Below are 20,691 nucleotides of genomic sequence, written 5' to 3' on the forward strand. Positions count from 1 at the left end.
CTATTCTGTAGGAGAGCCCTGACCAGGAAAGGAGTTAGATTTAGATGTGTTGGTCAGGTGAGACACAGAGGAGGCAGCACAACCAAACATAGGAAATAACAGAAGCAGTATATTACTTACGGATCCCACAGAAAAGAGGGCAGCATGTTTCTCAGGGCCAGATGGGAAAGGGGAAGCCATCTGGGACTTGGAGGCTCCACCAGTGGGTGGGGAGAGAGAGAGAGAGAAAGAGAGGGAGAGAGCAAGGAACCTGTGAGTCAAAGCCATTATTGGGGTCTAGGTTGTTATCAAAGAGTTTCCCTGCAGGGAATTCTAACTGTGGGTGACGTGGTTTGGATCTGTGTTCTCACCCAAATCTCAGGTCAAATTGTAATCCCCAGTGCTGGAGGTAGGGCCTGGTGGGAGGTGCTTGGATCATGGGGACAGTTCCTCACGAATGGTTTAGCACCATCCCCTCTGTGTGGTGCTGTTCTTGTGATAAGGAGTGAAGTTATCCTGAGATCTGGTTTAAAAGTGTGTAGCGCCTGCCCCCCTCTTGCTCCTACTTCTGACATGTAAGAGGTGTCTGCTTCCCCTCTGCCTTCTGTCATGATTGAAAGTTTCCTGAGGCTTCCCCAGAAGGCAAGCAGATGCCAACATTGTTTCCTGTACAATCCTGTACAACCTGCAGAACCGTGGGCCAATTAAACCCCATTTCTTTATAAATTACTCAGGCTCAGGTATTTCTTTAAAGCAATGTGAGAACGGACTAATACAGTGGGTTTACAGCAAACAGACTTCATTTCCTTGGTCACGCTGTGACTGAGAGATGGTCACTGCAGCTTATCTGGGCAGTCCGTGCAGGGTATGGGAGTCAGTAGGGTGAGTCAAGTAGGTTGTATCCAGCTGTCCCATAGGGAAGTGGTTACTGGGAGGCGATCGTATAAGGTAGATATCTGGAACAACAACATAGAGGAACTGGGTGGAGGCAGACAACTGGAAACTGTGTCGAGTGTGACTAAGCCCAGTTTCTGATATGAGAAAGTTAAACATGTTTAAAATGTATGCCAAGGCAACATAAAATTATTAGAATTCACTACATTCACCAAAAATATATAACATCAAACAGGTAGCAAAATTTGATAGATTGGTATACGTAAATTAGTACCTCTCCTATTAAAGTGGGAAATTTTAAATTAACATTTGTGGTTATTGGTAGATAAAAAAGTCAGCAAAGGGTATACAATATATGAAGAATACAGTTCATGGACATATACAGAATTCAATATATAAAGAATGAAAAAGAGATATATAACATAAATCAGAGATTAAAAGGAAAATGAGAATACTGTTAATTATATGTGACCTATGTAAAAATAGACATTTCTAGGAAAATATTACTTGTAAAAACCGAGGGAGAAATTAAAAGTCTGAATCTTCCCACAAAGAAAGCAACAAGCCCAAGTGATTTGCCAATAAATAAGTCTCTACCAAAATTTTGAGGAATAGATTATTCCAATCTGTTGCAATCTTTTAAAATTAATACAAACAGAGGATAATTCCCCAGCAAGTTCTGAAAGCCCAGCATAATCCTGACATCCAAATCAAATGAAGACACCAAAACAGATGACAATTACAGATGTATTTCACTTTTAATATAGAGCTGGTAATCCCAAACAGGACAGTAGCAAATTGAAACCAACATTTAAAGAAGACAAACATCATTGCCAAATTGGATTTTTCCCAGGTATGCAAGGATGATTTACTAATAAATGATCCATAAATGTAAGCAACATTTACATTGATAGATTAAAAGTGAAAAACTGTATAATTAAAATAGATACAGAAAATCATTTGATAATCAGCATAAATTCATGATAAGAATGCTTAGCAAATTAAGAAAAGAGGGAACATCTCTAAACTGTCAAGAAATATTTAAAAAACAACCAGTCAACCAACCATCATCAGCAATCTTCCTAAATGGGGATAGATGAAAAGATTCTCTTAAAGTCAGAAATGATAAAAGCATGCTTATCACATGTTCTGATTATTATTGCTGTATAACAAATCCAAATTTAATGGCACAAAACAGCTGTTTTATTATGCTTATGAATTCTGAGGGTCAGAAACTTGGACAATGTAGAAGAAGGCTTTTTTTTTTTTTTTTTTTTTTTTTTTTTTTTACAGCTCTACTCTTTTCAGTGCCTCAGTTGGGATGATGTGAACGTTGAACACTGGAGGTGACTTGCTGGCTAGGGGCTGGATTCATCTTAAAGTATCTTCATTTATATGTCTGGTGATATGATGCTGGCTGTTGGCTGGGAACTTAATTAGGCAGTCAGTTGGAAAACTTACATACGGCTTTTCCATGTGATATCTCAGTGTGGGCCAGTTTGGTCTGTCTCACATAATGGCATCTAGGCTCCAAGAGCAAGCAATACAAGAGCAAAAGACAGAAGCACATTGCAGTGAGCTGAGATTGCGCCATTGCACTCCAGCATGGGCAACAAGAGGGAAACTCTGTCTCAAAAAAAAAAAAGAAATAAGAGTTTACTAAAGTTGAGTAGGTAGATTAATATAGAAGTCAATTGGATTGTTATTATAGTAACAACAAATAACTAGAAAGTATAAAAGAAGACATTGAAATAGTATCATAGATACTATCATAGGTGCATTCCTATTTATTGAATGCACCTAACAAGAAATTTTTGAGACATCTTTAGGGGTATTTATAGAATGTTATCAGTAGTCCTTTTAGAAAAAACTTAACCATGGTATATCTTAGTTGTAGGGCTCACTCACTATCATAAAGATTCCTTTTCTGCTGAAATAATCTTATAGCTAGAAACAGACCCACAGTGTTTATGGGTCTGTTTATACTAGAATAAATTTGGTGTATGATAAAGATGGCTTATCAGATTAGCAAGGAAAGAAGTTATTGTATAATAAATGTAATCAGGAAAAATGATCCATATCAGGAAAAAAAAAGAATTAGATCTCTGCTTCTACCATATAAATACTCAAATACAGATGGCTGAAATACTTAAATGTCAAAAATAAAATTTCCTTGTAGTAAATAAAGGTATATACCTTTTATAGATGGCAAAGGATTTAAAAAATAAGACTAAGCAACTGATAAATTGTTATTAAAGAATAGATTAAGAATTTCTGTTCATCAAAAGCTGCCTTAAATAAAGTGGAAACACATGTTATAAACTAGAAGATGTTTGCAATATACACAGCTGACAAATGATTAATATCAAGAATTATTTTAAAAAATTTATCCAATTAAAAACACAACACAGTCAAAAAATAAAGATGTGAATAGGCATTTCACAAAGGAGGAACCACATATCATTGATAATCATATGAAGAAATTTTAACTTCATTAATGATCAGGGAAGTCAAATTAAGTACAAAATGAGATGCCATTTAAAACCAAGTGTCAGGAAGGATGAAGATTTATGGGACCTCTGTATTCATGCCACCATTTTGGAAAGTACTTTTTCATTTTCCTGTGAAACTAAACATAGACAAATGTTACAACCCAATTATTTTACTCATAGGCATATACTCAAGGGAAGTTCTGTGTATAAACAAAAGTAGATGTATTGAAAAATGTTCACAGCATTTCTGGTCTCAATAACAAAATCCTGTAAACTACCCAGATGTCTCTTGATAGGAAAGTGGCTGAATAAACTTTGGCATATAATTAATATAGCAGCCAAAAGAATGAATAATAGCCATAATAATATTAGCAACATAATATCATAAGAAAAAGTTAGGTCCCCCAAATTGACATACTGCAGGATACCCTTTAAAAATAGTTCAGATAAAAGTAATATGCTTTTTGGTAGTAAATATAGAAGAGATGAAACATCATTCATTTGAAAGTAAGGGAATGATGAAAAAATAAATTAAGGATTGTGAGTCCAGATAAGCACAGGGAAGAGTTATATGTATTACAACTTACTGTCAGGGTCTTCAGGTTTATGTTGTCAACACTGATTTTACCGTGATTACTATGTGACACTTTTCTCTATTATTTGTTGTATAGAGCACATTCTTGTGCCTTGATATTGTGATATATTTGTAGACTTTTTTTTACAGGACCTATTTTTACTTTTAATCATTAGTACCAATGCAAATCACAATTTTGTCATCATGCTTATTTTGCTTATATGGGGGACTCCAAAGATCATATCCCATAGAGGCATGGATTTGGCATTCTTGTTTTGAAAGATTTGGAGTTGAGATTGACATGATAGTTTTAGGGTCTAAAACATGATTGTTTTAGAAATAGTTATACAGTATAATGAAAGGATTGGAGAGCAGAATGACAAGAAGTAAGTTCTGGTAGTTTTCAAGAAATAGTGATAGAGATCCAAGCCACAAAGATGGTCACTAGAGGAGACAAGAAAGGATGAGTGGGGAAATAATATAGAATTAACTGACTTACCTGCTGTGGTGTAAAGTGTCAAGTGAAAAGTAAAAGGTGACACCTGGGTTTTGCATCCTGGATGGATTAAAGAAGGATAATACTATTGACTGAAAAGAACAGATTGAGGAGAGAAAGTAGTTTGTGAAGAAAAGGTGAATTTGGCTATAGTAATAGTGTAGTTTCATATATTTAGAGTATCTTAGAGTGTAATACCTTAGAAGTCCTCTGATCAGCCTGTTCATTTGACATATGAGGACACTGTGGCCCAGAGAAAGCGTAGTGATTTGGCCAGCATCATATGGTTCAAACACAAATTTCTGTGTGATTACAGGATATGGATCTGATGGAGATGAGGATGATAGAAGCAACTAGGTTACAAAGGTCCATTAATTCTTGTTAGGAATTTTTACTTTGGGCTGGGCGTGGTGGCTCACGCCTGTAATCCCAGCACTTTGGGAGGCCGAGGCCGGTGGATCATGAGGTCAGGAGATTGAGACCATCCTGGCTAACATGGTGAAACCCCGCCTCTACTAAAAATACAAAAAATTAGCTGGGCATGGTGGAGGGCGCCTGTAGTCTCAGCTACTTGGGAGGCTAAGCCAGGAGAATGGCGTGAACCCGGGAGGCGGAGCTTGCAGTTAGCCGAGACCGGGCCACTGCACTCCAGCCTGGGTGAGAGACCAAGACTCCGTCTCAAAAAAAAAAAAAAAAAAGAATTTTTACTTTGTAAAATAATGAGAAGCCATTGAATAAGGTTTTAAGTAGGAGGAGTATTTAGAAGGAACACTTAGGTTGCAGAGTGGAGAATGGACTAGAAAGGAGCAAAATTGGAAGCAGAGTACTGTTTTGGAGTTTGATGCTATAAACTAGATGAAAGATAATGGTGACCTTGCTTAGGGTGAAAGTATTGGGGATTGAGAGGAGTAGATGTATTCTGGAGGTATCTGGGACAGCGGTCCCGAACCTTGTTGGCACCAGGGACTGGTTTTGTGGAAGACAATTTTTCTATGAACTGGAACGTTGGGAGATGGTTTTGGGATGAAATTGTTCCACCTCGGATCATCAGGCATTAGTTAGATTCTCCTAAGGAGCACACAGCCTAGATCCCTCATATGCACAGTTCACAATAGGGTTCGTGCTCCTTTGAGAATCTAATGCTGCTGCTAATCTGACAGGAGGCAGAGCTCAGGTGGTAATGCTTACTTGCTGGCCACTCACCTCCTGCTGTGCAGCCTGGTTCCTAACAGGCCAAGGACCCAGACCGGTTCGTGTCCGCGGGTTGGGGACCCCTGCTCTCGGAGATAGGATTTTGTGATTGATTTTATATATGGGGTGAGAGAGAGAAGTATGAGGCAAAGATGACTGCAAGTTTTCTTCTTGACCAAATGTGTTATAGAGGTAGTGGCAATCACTGGTCTAAAGACCCCTGGAAGAAGGGTAAATTTGAGGTTGGTGGGGGAGATGTTGAATTCAATCTTGAGTTTTGGTTGTATTGCATTTGAGGTTCCTGTTAGATTACAGTTGTCTCTTGGCTATGTAGATCTGGAGCTCAGGAAACACATCTAAATTAGAGATAGAGATACCATAGCTTATGTTTGTAAATGAATCCAAAGATGTGAATGAGATAGTCCAGGGAGTGTATCTAAAGTGAAAGAAAGGAAGGGTTAGGTTGGAGCCCTTTGGAGCACCAAAATTTAAAGGATAGGTAGAAGAACCTGCAAGAGAGATTGAGCTAAAGCAGTTAGAAAACTAGGAAGAAGGAAGGAGTATGATAGTCTTATATAGCATGAAGTGAGAAGTGTTTTGAGAAGAAAAGACTAATCAAATGATGTTAATGTTCAAATAAGACAAGGAATTGTTTCATTTTGCATAATAAAAAGGATGTAATTGGTTGCAGGCATGAGATATAACAATAGTGTCTGAAGTTGAGCTGTGAAAAGGATAGGACTGTGGTTGGAGGACACTGTATTTGAGGAAGGTTTTGTTTTTGTTTTTGTTCTGTTTTCATTTTTAAACTGTAGGGCTTGGAGCATGTTTCATTGTTGATGAGAAAGAGCTAAATAAGAGGAGGTTGAATAGTTAAGAGGAAACAATTGAGAGAGCCAAGTCTCTGAGAGCCCAGGTTGCTGGGAGGGTTTGGGGGTTAGTCTTAAGTAGGCAGAAGGGTTCCTTTTTCTTTGTGAGCAGAATGAGTTGTAATAGCTGAGTACAGATGCTGGTAGCTATAGTTTTGGTAACAAGAAGTTGAGGGACTTCTCTTAAAATGCCTTCTGTTTTCTTTGTTAAGCAGGAGGCCAGGCTATTTGCTTTGATAGCAGAAAGGAATAGAAAGGCTGGAAGTTTGAGGAGAGTTGGCAGTCTTTGAAATAGCTTTTCTGGAGAATGAGAGAAATAACTTTAAAGAAATACTGGGTGTGTTGGGCAGCACTGTGAATCCAGTTGAAGAGGGGAAACATGAATTTTATGTGATTTTGTTCTGATAGTTGTCAGCAGAAGACAGGTAATTGGATATTATTGGTGGTTCCTGGGGTGGGAGGGAGGTGTTATCAGTTGCCTTGCAACCACTCTGGATTCTGAATCAGCTGAGGAATGGAACCAAGAGTTGTATAGAAATCAGAGTAGCAACTTTATTGTTAAAACCTGGCTTGGGCCTAAATCTGAAATGAGGTCTCCCACAGGTTTTCTTCTAAATTAAATTTACCCATCTGGTCACAGGCAGAATAGCTAAAAAACAAGTCTCTGTGCTTAAAGAATGAAGTTTTTCCCTGATGAGCTTCTTTATGGGAGCTAAACTGCAAGAATAGTATATTGTTTGAAGGCACCAAGTTCCCAGTAAGGAGCTCAAAGAGGTTGTACTTTGCATGCACACTAAATTTTATAATTAATCTTAGCTAACAGTGACACTTAGGGATGTTTTGCTCTCACTATGATTACTTTTTTTTTTTTTTGAGAGCAGTAAAGAGGATAAAGGACTACAGTACTTCTTCAATCACATTTCCTTCTATTGAAAACAGGCCTGTGCTCTCTTTTAAAATGTGAGGAGAGGAAGTAGTATATCTTACCTTTAGCATTCATTGAGCGATGAGATTTTGCCAGATAAGAATACAGTTCATACAGTGAGAATTTTGAGTTGATAGAGGGATAGCCCTGTAAAAATGTTCATTTTTTGGTTGGGAATGTATGACTGGCCCCTGAGAAGTGATTAGTTCTGCAAAATCTGTGTAGACTACTAAGATTATGAGAGGGCATACATTTTTTGAAGGAGAAGATAATGAGATAGAATCAGAGGGCTATCAGCCTGGGAAAAGATTGCTATTAAGGAGTTGGAAGTTGAAGACTTAACCAAAGAGGGTGAGGGTAGATATAAGGGTTTGGAGAGTAAATGTCTTGTAGTTTTTATTTTTGTTGTTACTTTTTGGGATGTGTAAGTTTTCTGAATGAAGGTTGGTAAAGACAGACTTAATTGATAACAGATGAAAATTATAAAGGAAAATTTAGTTATTAGTAGTTGGGATGTTTTCCTATTGGATCATTTATGAATATAATGTTTTTTAGGTAATAAATTTACACCTCAGTTTGCTTTCTTTGGACTTGTAATAATCTGCCACTGGCCAAGTTTCACTGGTAGTAGAATTCATAGTATGGCAATACTTCTTTAATTCAGCTTCATAGGCAGTTTCAAAATTATTAACCCCAATAATAATTGGACACTTGATGAGAATATAAAGTAGCAATGTAGTATCTTTTAAGATATTGGTCCTTAGGCACAGTCTTAATATGGGTAGAGCTGTTTCAATGCTAGCAACTGGGTCTTCTAGTGCCCAAGATCCACTGTAATTTTCTTGGAAAAGTAAGAGGGAAAAGGAAGTCATGTGGGAACTATTAGCAACTAATTTGCTGTCATTCAGTCATTTATTTTGAAGGCATTAATTCAGAAATATTCTTTGAGCCCTTACTATGTGCTAGGAACTGCTCAGTTCAATTGCTGGAGGGTAAAAAAAAGATGAATAAAGAAAGGATCCCCACACTACCTCCAGATTTCTTATATAAACTTAGGTAGACAGTTACATTTTCTTGACCCAATAAGCCTGAAATTCTGTTCTTACATATTTTGACTCTTCTAATTAGCTCAGTCTTAATTGCTTTCTATTTTTAACTTTAAGGTTTGAGTGTGTGTGTGTGTGTGTGTGTGTGTGTGTGTGTGTATTTCCTTTGTTCTGTTTTCTCTAATTTCTGTTTGCCCAGAAGAGTCAGAAAAAAAACCACTTGTCTCTGTTGCTTCTAGGAAACATGGCATTAAACAGGATCAAATGGAAAAGTATTATTGCGACTGTGAGGATGTTAGCAAGTAGTTTTCCAGATCAGATGGAGATTTAGTTGAATGCTAAGTGGACAGTGTTAACTAATAGGATATTTGGGGACGATCAGATAATTTGGGTGGTCTCTTGAGATTTTATTTTTTGAAGTCAGTTATCAAAATGTCTTTATTAGACCTTTTTAGAAGGGGAGGGGTGCAGGTTGGTTAGGTTTTGAGCAACTTTGGTGTCTAGAGATACAATCTTGTATTTGGTATGAATACTTGTAATATGGGAAGATGTTATAATGGAGACTATTATGAAAAATCCTAATTTATTTGTTGAGTAAATGCAAATTTAAAGCATTTATGTCTTTTATGGTTAGTTTTGTAAAGAAAAACTTTCTTGAGTTTTTCTCAGAATATTTTGATAGAACTAATAGGTAGCTGGCTCATCATGCCATGTTGTTTTTTTGTGCTCATAGTTTAAAATTGTAATAAGGCTTGCTATGAAATACTGCTGTCTTCTGTGTCCTCCATGCTTTTCCAGCCTCCTCATCTCCTTCATACTGGTTTCTCTGTTTTCATTTGGTTAGTTCTCTAGTCACTAATTCAACTCTGAAGTTTCCCCTAATTGTTTAAAATTACACTCATGATGGTAAAACATATGAGCTAGTCTATTTCATTTCTTGAATACATGTCTCAGGAGCTTTCTGATTTGCTCCAATCTAGACTGGAGGTATCTCTTCTTGCTTCATAGGTATTGTGGAACTCAGTTCACTATTATTCTGGGAGAAATCCCTTTGCTTTTCACTTTAGTTGGATCTTTCCTAATCCTATGTCTTTTTCTTTCTTGTCTTATTCTCTTGGTTTACTCCATAGCTTTTAAAGAAAGTGTGCAATAAAAATTGTTTTGAGACTTTACAGGTGTGAACATGACTTTATTCTTCCCTCAATTATATGTTGGTTTGGTTGAATATAGAATTCCATGCTGTAAATCATTTTCCCCCAGAATTTTAAAAGCATTATTAGTCCATTGTTTTTTACCTTCCAGTGATGCTGTTATGAAGTGTGAGACCATTATGTTGTTGGTCCTTTGAATGAAGCCTATTTTCTCTCTGGAAGCTTGTAGGATCTTCCCTTTGTCTCTACTGTGCCTTGCTGTGGGTTTTTTTTCTTCTTTTTTTCTCTTGGACAGTTGATATACCCATTACTGGATATAATATCCTTTTGTTTTAGAAAATTTTCCTGAATTATTTTGTTGATGATTTCTTTACTTTTGTTTTCTCTTTTCTGTCTTTCTTGAACTCCTAGAGTCCTAATAATTAGATATTACGTATCCTAGGCTGGATCTTGTAACTTTTTTTTACTCTGACTTCCCATTTTTTTCTCTTATACTTTTTTAAAAGAAAATTTCCTTAATTTTATTTTCTATCCGGCAGTTTTTCATTTCTGCAATTATATATTTTTATTTCCAAGGCCTCAGTCTTGTTGTTTACTCCTTTCTTGATCATTTTCTCCCCTGAAATTAGGGCATCCTGTTCGTAATTCATGGATGAACTATCTTCTGTTGTTAACTTTCTGAAGATACTATGGTTTTGTTTTTTTCTTTCTTGGATAGTCTTTGTTTATTTCATCCTAGTTTTCTTTTATGGTTTGGTCTCTATTTTTTTCTTCTATTTGTTTTTTAATTAGATGCTTTCTTCATCTCTTTGGTCGTCCTTGATAGTCTGTTCACATGTAAGATTGAGGCACTAATAAAGTAGCAAACACTTATATAATGCTTAGAATGTATCAGATACTGTTCTGAGTGCTTCATCTGTTTTAACATATTTAATCCTTGTACTGACTTTAGGAGTTAGCTATTATAATATTCGATAGATGAGGAAACTGAGGCACACAATGTTTTAAGTAAAATGCCCAATGTAACACAGTAAGTGGCAGAGCTGGAATTTGAATCCAGCCATCTTAACTCTATAGTCCCTTCTTTTAACCTTTATGCTGTTCTGCCTGTTATTAAAATTAGAAGCTAATTGGAAATTTTGTGCTTGTGGGTGGGATTTGTCAAAGTAGTATTTCATGAGTGAGTTGTTTCTTTGTGGAACGTCTGATAAGGTCCTTTTCATGGGTTGAGTAGATTCATCACTGAAGAATCTGCAGCTCTTCTGACTAGAGGTTTCAGCCCAGCCGCTGTTGTTTTGGTTGCTGAGTAGTGAAAGATGTCTGGAGTTACTGGTCTACATATTTAACCACCCTCTCCCCTCCCCAAGATATAACTTCACCTAGTCCACCTGTGTTGATATCTTCCTGCCTGGAGACCCTCAGCTTTACCCTGTCCAGGGAATGAACCTCCAGTCTTCTGCTGTGGTGATAAATTGTAGGTTACCCAGTTGTGCAGATTCTGGCAGTGGTCTTAGCATATACCTATGACTCTTAATTTTGAGTTTCGGTTTTACTTGACTTTCAGTACCTCCCATTGCTGAGCCTTTTGAGGATTCTCTTATGTATTCATAAGTGTGATTCTCATTTTTCCAGTGACTCATTTTCCTTGTATTTGCTTTGAAATTTCTTGTAGTTTTCTCATTTCACATTCTCTTTGACCTAATTTTTATGCAGAAGCCAATAATCAAAAGAAATCTTTGTATTCTTACAGGGATACCTTTCCGTAAAGATGAATAAAATGTGTGTTTTGATGTGCCATTTGACATTTTCTGTCAGATCTGTTGAAATCTTTCTCAAATGTCTCCTTCTACCTTAGGCATTTAATGATGCTTCCAACCAGATATATCATCTTCTGAAAATCTTTCTTCTTACTTTGGAAATTTTTTCTTCTCTTTTGAGACTCTTTTACATCTTATGTTATTTGTATTTGAATGCTTTTCTTACACTCTGCCCTCCTCTGTACACCAGACTGTAACTTCTTTGAGGACCTTAACTGATACAGAATTGCTGAATAAAAGTTTATTACATTGTGTATTCTGTATATGTTTTGTCCTTTTGTATGTCTTTCTTATAAAACATTTTTAGAATATCAGCAGTGTATTAAATATTCAGACTAGCAAAGTAGGGAATTAATACAATAAGGCAAAAAAAGAGATTAAATTTAGATATAAAGAAGTTTGAGAATTGTTAGACCTTGATATTGTGAAAACTTTCAGCGTAGATTCCTAATTATAATGAAGTATACACCTGTCTTTCTGCCATTACACAAAAGAATGAATTATGTGATCTGTTAATGTTTTGGCCAGGCTTATGATTCTGTAACTTAGATGTCAGATATATTTGCTGTTGCTACATTCTTATAATATTTGTAGTTTAATGGGCTATAATGTTAAATGCTAGAATATTCTAAAATACTTGATAAGAATGCACTTTAGATAAAGTAAATATTTTAAATGTATTGGAGTAGCTAAATACATAAATAAGCCCACATTTGTATATTTCCTTTTAAAAACTGTTGATTTTCATATTTTATAAATTTTATTTTTACAAGTCAATGCTGTTAATTTTCTTTTCTCCTATTTAAAATGCTCAGAAGTAAACTATTGCAGGAATTGAAGTCTAAATTATATGCAGAAAGATTATTGCTTTAAAAATATTTCTCTAGAATTATATGTTAAGTAACTTGGGACATAATTTGTTTTTTTAAACGTATTAATATTTCTTTGAAAATAAAAGGAAGAGTATCATCTGCTTTTTTTTTTTTTTTTTTGATGGAGTTTCACTCTTGTTGCCTGGGCTGGAGTGCAATGGTGCGATCTCGGCTCACTGCAACCTCCACCTCTCAGGTTCAAGCGATTCTTCTACCTCAGCCCCACAAGTAGCTGGGATTACAGTCGTGTGCCACCACACCTGGCTAATTTTTTGTATTTTTAGTAGAGGCAGGGTTTCACCATGTTGACCAGGCTGGTCTTGAACTGCTGCTGACCTCAGGTGATCCGCCTACCTCAGCCTTCCAAAGTGCTGGGATTACAGGCGTGAGCCACCGAATATGTAAAAGTTGCTGGAGTCTGGAAAACATCAGTGGTCACTAGTATGTTCTTTTGCAGAGCTAAATCAGAACTTAGGAAACTGACTGTATTTGGTTCATTACCACAGTCAAACAAGCTGAAATGATTGTTAGATGTGGGTATTTGTTTTTATTTTCAAATTTTCTGTCACCTTACAAATAGTTTATTGGGAAGTGACTTAAGAAAACACACAGAAGCATTACTCTAAAAATTCCATTCTTTTGAAACCATATTATTTGAGTACAGCATATGTAGATGCTAAAAATTTTTTGTTTCTTCAGATTCATGGGATACATGTGGAAGAGATAAAGTTGGTGTTTATAGTTTGACTTGGTTAATTCTTGATGTTCATATCACTCTTCTTTCATAATTTCTTCATGAAAAATGTAGCCACATACAGATTTCTGTTCACTTGCAACACAGAATAATGTGAGTTCCATTTCAAACTAAACATCATCAAAAGTTTCTGAAAGTCTGGTTTATATTTTTTAGGTGCTATACGTGGATGACCTGCTTAGTTTTAATTTTTGGAGAAATACATTTTATAAAACATTTTCATCAGATTGCTAAAATTGTGAGTAATGGTAATGATACCATGATTATATTCTGGTTAATTTAATACCTTTCCTTTTTACAATATGTTTCTGTCTAAATATATATTTTTTAGTGTCATTACCTACTGAGTTTCTGTGAAAAGAATTTCCTTTGCCTGTTAAAACAATCGTTGAAATTAATGTTTTTACTGTTTTTTTCTTTGACAATTTTTTGAATTTTCTTTTTGAAGGTGTTAGCACTAGTTTCCAGAAGGTAAAGCACAGATATAGATGACTACTTAAAGCAAATGACCTTAGAAAATGCCCTTAAGATTAATGTTTAACATATAGTTTAATATGTATAGCTATTTTTATTTTAGAAGTGGGAAAGGATTGTTTTCCTGTAATGAAGTCCATCTTGTATTACTGAGTCAAGGAAACTATAATCAACATTTGGGTATGTTCACTTAAAGTTTTCTTTTTAATTTAAAACATTGCTTTTTAAATTAACTTTTAGGTTAAGGGGTACATGTGCAGGTTTATTACAAAGACAAACTCCTGTCATGGGGGTTTGTTGTACAGATTATTTTGTCATATGGTCACTTCTGAATGATAGAAAAATAAACCAATTATTACTGACTAGAGTATTACTTGCAGCTATAGATTCACAATTACAGGTTCCAAATTGTAAATTAAGAAACAATCTATATGAGAACTTATTTTTCATTTTAATGTATACTTCCTCTTACTAATTTCACCTTTTCAGGTTATTTAGTTCTTGCATGGTTTGTTTGATAAAGCTGCTGCTCCTTTTTTTTTTTTTAAAGCCCTGATACTAATGGTTTTATCTTTTCATTTTTATGATATACATTTAGGACTAAAAAAGCAAATAATATTTGAGTGCTTGTCTCTCTTACATACTTTAAGAGTAAAGAAAAGAGGAATTCTGGATATTTATTTGTGTTTTTCTCATCCCTCATCTCCCATGAATACATGACTTGATTTATCTTGATCAGCCTAGTAACTTGCTCCACATTTTTCCAAAAGTGCAAAGCAGTTTCAGCTAAAAATACACATATCAAAATGATCCAAAAGTTGTGGCCACAGCTCAAAAATGCTGATCAATTTTGAAAATCTAAATCAGCCTTGGCCCTGAAACCGAGGGAAGAACCTTTGTGGTAGGGGACAGATTTCCAAAAACTCACCACAGTCCTGTTCTTAGCTGGAGTTTGTGCTGATGTTGCCAGACAACTGAGGAATAGATGCAAAAAGCAGGAAGCATTATTGAATTGAGCTCTAGTGCCAATTTGGGAAAAGCAAATTAAAATGTAAAAGAATATTTTTCCACTCCTGGCATCTCAACATAAAATGGCAAAATACATGGTTGCTGAAAAAGTTACAGAAATTGCTAATTTTGCCAAAAAGTAAAAGCCAATTGCAAATTCTTTTTTGCATAAAAAATGCATAGACAGTTAGAAATTCTAATTTACAAATAAATATGTATACATTTAAGTTGGAGAGTATTTTGACATAAATGACTGTGTGTGTGCGGGCTTGTTTCAATATCTTATATTTTTCAGGTGCCACTTGAAGAATGGATGATGATGATTTTGGTGGTTTTGAGGTATGCACTGTTATTTACATTAGTTTGTTTTAACTTTGTGGGATTATAATGGAGTAAACTATTTTGAAAATGTATTATATTTCATTGGCATTCATGATATTTCCTTGATCATTTTAATGTAATTCTGGAGTAAAAAGATGAAATCAAGAAAAATAAAAAAAAACCCTCTAAAAATTAAAACTGATGTATTATTATAGAACATTTGGACTTGCCCATAGGAATGGTTTAAATTGAGTTAATTAAGTGCTACCAGTGTAAGCACTAAAGGAAAGATTTTAAAAATTGTCAGCAGATGATTTTATTGGGATACATGTCTGTTAGGAAATACTTGTGAGATGATGGATGAGTACTAAAGATCCTGTCACATATTTGCATGTTTATACCTGCAATGAGTTGATTTAGTATATTAAGTACATAGCCTTTTGGTGGTTATAAAGTTAATTAGTATGTTTGTATTGTTAGATTATTCTAGTAGGTTAGGAATGGATACTTTGTAAGTGGAAATTGTTAGCTGAAGGAGCACTGTCTTTTCCTTAATCCTTTTCAATGTGTGTTCATTTTATTGAAATATTTTATAACCCAGTTATTTTTATGGAGCCAGTATAGTCTTGCAGGAAAATCTCTGGATTAGGAGTCAGGAGGCCTGAGCTCAAGTCCTGGAACTACCATCAAGGGAATGCTGTGATTTTTTTTTTTTTTTTTAAAGAATTTTACCTACTTTGGATTTGGTAAAAAGGGAATTATAAAAACCAGGGATTGTAATTAATGACCTTAATAGGATGAATAAGATGTTAAGTATATATTCAGTGTTGTGAATTTCATGAAAGAATGGTGTGAGGTTTTTGTTAGGATCTTCTTCTCTTTTGCTGATCTTTAAAATCAGTCAATATGGAGTATAGACATACCTGTTTTCTCTATTTCATCTAAAACTGGTTTTTGTTTAAGCATGCTTGTATGCTTAATATTTTGGTTTTGTTGAGTGATTGAATCTTATTTATGTTACTGAAATGTAACATTTATTTTTGTTAAAATGCCTTCCATTTTGAGGAAAATGTATGTTTCAGATATCATCTGGCTTAGTTTATTGTTTAGAAGTTGTTATTTGAGGGTTACAGTCTGGCATAGTCTTCTTTATTTAAACCACACTTCATGTATTATTTAGGAAAAAAATACAGTGGATAGTGTTCTGTAGAATAACAGTATTACACTTTGTTATATTCATCAAATTGATTCCTTTCAGTACTGCATAGGTACAGGTTAACCAGTGTTACAATTTAATTGTAGTTATTAGGTTTTTCTTTCTTTCCATATCCTGCTGTATAAATAGGGAAGGTCTCTACCCTTGGTTATATAAAATATGTTCATTTTTCATAGTTGTAGAGAATAGCTACTGTATTCTGTGTCACTTAGCTCCTGTGTCAGATTACCCCTTTTAACTTCTCCTTAAGGGGTTGGCAACTCAGTGGAGAATACACATTGAAATTCTGGCTCTAATTTTTAGTAGAAAATTTGCTGTGACCTGGGCATCTAACAGACAGAAAACTCTGTGCTCTTACCTACAAACTCAGTATTCAGTAATTGTTCCAAAATAGGACGGCTTGTTAATTGAAAACTTGAGTTTTAGAAATTCTCTAAATATTGAAAGCTATTAACTCTAGGTAGTATATTATTCAAGACAGATGAATCCTATTTCTTTGAATTAATCTCTAATTGGGTCTTGTGCTAATTAATTAAAAGAATTTGGTGTCTATATTTTTTAAAGACAAATATTTTTCCTACATAGATGGTTAAATGTGGTAAGTTAAGTTAAAATACTTAAATATAAAGTTTACAAGTGAAAATGTGATTAAGAATATATAAAATAAAAATATTGACTAACAGTAGAGTTATCTGAATAAGGAAAAAATTTTTACTTGAAGTTAATAAGGCATGGGTACTGGGGGTGGTGAGTCATGATAGGAGTGGTAGGAGTTAAGACTGAAAAGCAGTTATTTAGAGGGAATATGAAAATGTCTGGTGTGTTATAGAAGATATGCCTATTGAACTGGAATGCTTGATCACTTAAATAGCATTTCTGCTTTTCACATCTTCTAAAATAATCTTGCCTTTGTCTTGTAGGCTGCGGAGACTTTTGATGGTGGAAGTGGTGAAACCCAAACAACATCTCCTGCTATTCCTTGGGCTGCCTTTCCTGCAGGTATTGGTATCCAGGAATTAGGGTTTTTTTTTTTTTTTTTCCCATGTAACATTTTTGGCAACTCTTTGAAACCCTATTTCTCAACTTTTTTACTTGTCCTTCACTGATCTGAAAAATGGAGTGATCCAGATTTACTCTTTAGGTTTTTAAAATAACAAATTGTGAATTACATAACACATTTTGTGATGGTGACTTGAGGCTGATTCTAAAGATGATATCAGGAACATTAAATGAAATTAAACTACAATTTACATTTTTAAATTTATCTTAGTTTTTGGAAGGTGAGGTGCCCAATAACTTTTTTAGGTTGTCCAGTTCATTAAAGATTCCTTTTTATAGTCCAAAAATAATTTATCATCTCCAACATATTTAAATTTAGAAGTGTGTTTGCAATAAAATTACTTAAAAATATTGAAAATTAAAATTAAAAATTAAATACAAAAATAAATCCATTATTGACAGATGTTTCTTGGAAGACCTCATGTTTAATATTAATTTATGTCAAAAGAATATTTTGAGCTTTCAGAGTTTTCTGTTAAATCTGTTAAAGTTGGGAGAAGATGAAAGTATTTTCTTCAACAGCTCTGCCTAGACCTCAAATGTTACAGTTATTTATTGTAAAATATTAATCAAGTGCTTATTATGCATTAGGCACTATGGGGATATAGAGATGTATGGAACATAGTCTAGTCCTTTACTTCAAGGGTAGATAAGGTAGGCACATGCATATTTGTAATATGAAATAGATTTGTCATTTGGGAAGAATGATGATTTTATCATCCATTTATTTAGCAAATTCTTATTTTCATACCTGATCTGAGTCAAGTAGTAACCTGGCAGCTGGAAATATATGTATATGTTTATACAGTTGATCTGTTCTCTGAAGGGTGCATATAATTTCAATAGGCAGATATGGGAGAATGAGGAAAGATTTTGAAGGGAGAAAGATAAATGGAACAAAAGTGTAAATGAGAGAAAGGTGATGGCATTGTTAGGATGCTCATTTTTATTTGAGGGCTGTGTGTTATTTCCTTTGCTGGGAATTGTCTTTATTGCTTCTCATTGCTGTTCATTCCTACCCCCTTATGATACTAACTCCTATGTTTTAAAAGTATTTCTTGCTTTAATTTTTTTTTCTGGGTCACCTTTCCAGCAAACCCTCCCATGTCTACGTGCACCTATTATCTGACTTTCATGTTGGACAGCAAGTTTTGTGGGTTAGCCACTATGTCTGTTTGTCCTGTTGTTATATCTTAAATGTGGGGCATAGTATCTGGCTTATAGTTGGCTCTCAATAAGTATTTGGAGGATGAATAAAGAATAAAGTGAACAAGGGAACTAGTAACTGAATGAATTAACAGATTAGCATGGCATTGGAAATGGATAGGGAGAGCTGGGATAGTAGATGATATTTATATAATGGCTCAGGATTTTTAGTGTGCTGTCATGCATTTGTTTATTGTAAAGTAGGCAGAGCAACTATACTCTTTCCATTGTGTGGATGACAAAATGGTTTTAAAAAGTTTTATCATTTGATACACATAACTGTGTTTAGGGATGAAGTGTATTCTTTCAGATTCTATTTCAGTTCTTTTTCAATAACTCAGGTTTTTTGAAAAGAGTTATCAGCAGGACTGTCTGGATGTGACAGTGAAGGAGGAGTTAAAATTGATTTTTGAGGTTTCAAGTCTTGGTTCTGAAAGAATGGTGTTACCATGAACAGAAATAGAGAATTTGAGACTTGGATTTGGACAGATGGAGCCTTAATGAATTAATGTTAGACATGTATAATATATTTAAGGAACCTGAAACTCAGAAGAAAGGTTAGGGCTGGAGTTCTTGGTTTAGGAGTTTTCCCATTGATAATGACACTTAAAGTTGTAGGAGATTGCTGGGAGGAAGAGTACATAGATAGAATAAGGCTGAGTAGATTAATTTGGATGTTTAAAGGTGTGGAATAGGAGGAGGTAAAAGAGATCTGAGAAGTAAGGGGATTGTGGGCTAGTGCTGCAACACAGAAATTAGAAGTAGAAAATTTCAAAGAAGCTATGGGCACTGATGCCAAAGGCATTAGGGAGGTCAATGAGATTGGAGGCTGAGAAAAAAACCATAGATGGTCATAAGTGGCTTTTGAGGAAATGATTTCAGTAGACTGGAAGTTTAAGGCAAATTGTACTTCTTTACTTTTTATGAAAGCATGAACAGAGTCTCTTTTCTTATAATAAAACTGTGGCAAAGTACTAAAAAATTGTATATTATGAGCAAATTATCTAATTCCTCTTCTCTAGGAGTGAATATTATATGTCACATCTGCACGTCTGTGTATTAGTGGGTCAAGTTCTCAAACCTTCGCGAAACTGGAATTAAAGGACAAATCATCTGGCACACACACACATGCACACACTCACACTCACACACTCTTTTTTCCCTCACTCCCTTTGAAAAATTAGATCTGAAGAATTAACTCTTTCTAGATTTTCTCAGTGACTTGCAGAAATGGAGAATAACAAACATGGCTAAGGGCTGAAGTTAAAGACATGGTGCATGTTTGCTCAGCCAAAGCTATCTTTTTCCTTTGTTAGTTGTCTTCCTCTGACTGGAGAAGTCTGCCTCTTGATTCAGGTAGCTGGAAGTTGTTTAGGTGAGTGTGATGTGAACAGCTTACGTAGCTAACAATGTAATCATTTCCACAGTAAAGACCTGAGAAGATAGGAACCCCTTAAGAGATCTAAGGCAGATTCTTTTCAGTTGAAGAAAAGACTAATTTTCTCCTTTTTTCCCACCTACCTGTATCTTAGCTGTCTATAATCCATATGGAAAATATTTTAAAAAGACATGATGATTAACCAAGCTTTACCACAGCTTAAAATCCAAGAAGAGCACTAAGAAACATTTGGTTTACATTTTTAAAGTTTTTTGGGGAAAATAAAAATCTTCATTCTTGGGGTTAGGATAAAGGATTTTGTTAAGTAAAGAATGAGGTGGGTTTGGTGAGCCTAGTGATTCTACTGCTTCAGGACAGGCCAGTAGGTGGAGGAGGATTTCATAATAGCAACTGGGATAATAATGTATTTCTTAAAGTGTCTGTATAGCCTGCAGTTCTGTCAATGGGTTGAGGTGCCTCAAGACATGCATCTTACTGTATGTTAGCATTATTTACATAGTGAACTCTTAAAATGCTAGCTTATAGGCAATGTTGATGAAATTAATGAATTGTCAGTAAGAATAAATGAAATGTGCATGCTGATGCTTTATACAAAGTATTATCTCTAGGCCTGTATCTCCTTAAGTTATGATATCTAACCTGTAAAATGTGTCTTTACACCCTTATTGTCATAGGAATTGCAGAATGTAAATACGAGATGAATGAATATGAAATTATCAAGCTCTTTTCCTAATTCCTTTACTCTCCATAAACATTTAGAAATTATTACTTTATTTTAGTGAAAGCTACCCAAGGAGAAGAACTGCCTTTCTTTAAGCATTTTCCTCTCTGTTTCATAGCCTAACCCTCCACATTGCCTTCCATGCTATTCTGCTTGAAGCCTGTAAGCCAAACTGTGATACACATAGTGTTCCCATTGTCTGTTCCTATATTTTTGTCATTGCTCCT

At 35.0% G+C, this 20,691-nt stretch overlaps 1 protein-coding gene across 34 annotated transcripts in view, besides 2 other annotated features; it reads left to right on the forward strand.

Annotated features, from left to right (window-relative positions):
* The window catches only part of CCDC91 (coiled-coil domain containing 91), a 359,711-nt gene that overhangs the window by 51,909 nt on the left and 287,111 nt on the right, over positions 1-20,691 (forward strand). For 14 of the 34 annotated variants that reach the window (NM_001352079.2, XM_047429083.1, XM_047429090.1 and 11 more), the window contains 3 exons: positions 13,217-13,298; positions 14,838-14,881; positions 17,000-17,078. The exons of 3 other annotated variants lie outside the window; for them this stretch is intronic. In NM_001352079.2, coding sequence (NP_001339008.1) covers positions 14,852-14,881; positions 17,000-17,078 — 109 coding nt within the window. In that variant the 5' untranslated portion in view covers positions 13,217-13,298; positions 14,838-14,851. Of the gene's footprint in view, positions 1-13,216; positions 13,715-14,837; positions 14,882-16,999; positions 17,079-20,691 lie in introns of all 34 variants that reach the window. 17 more of the 34 variants (NM_001352086.2, XM_047429086.1, XM_047429084.1 and 14 more) reach the window with 4 other exon arrangements.
* Positions 10,724-10,903: an enhancer, noted in NCBI's record as "active region_6154". NCBI's record gives its function as "activates an Ori minimal core promoter by ATAC-STARR-seq in GM12878 lymphoblastoid cells {active_cell/tissue: GM12878}" and the evidence as "EXISTENCE:reporter gene assay evidence [ECO:0000049][PMID:35858748]".
* Positions 10,914-11,073: an enhancer, noted in NCBI's record as "active region_6155". NCBI's record gives its function as "activates an Ori minimal core promoter by ATAC-STARR-seq in GM12878 lymphoblastoid cells {active_cell/tissue: GM12878}" and the evidence as "EXISTENCE:reporter gene assay evidence [ECO:0000049][PMID:35858748]".

The sequence above is a fragment of the Homo sapiens genome, chromosome 12 (genome assembly GCF_000001405.40).
Source record: "Homo sapiens chromosome 12, GRCh38.p14 Primary Assembly".
NCBI classification, from domain to species: Eukaryota; Metazoa; Chordata; class Mammalia; order Primates; family Hominidae; genus Homo; species Homo sapiens.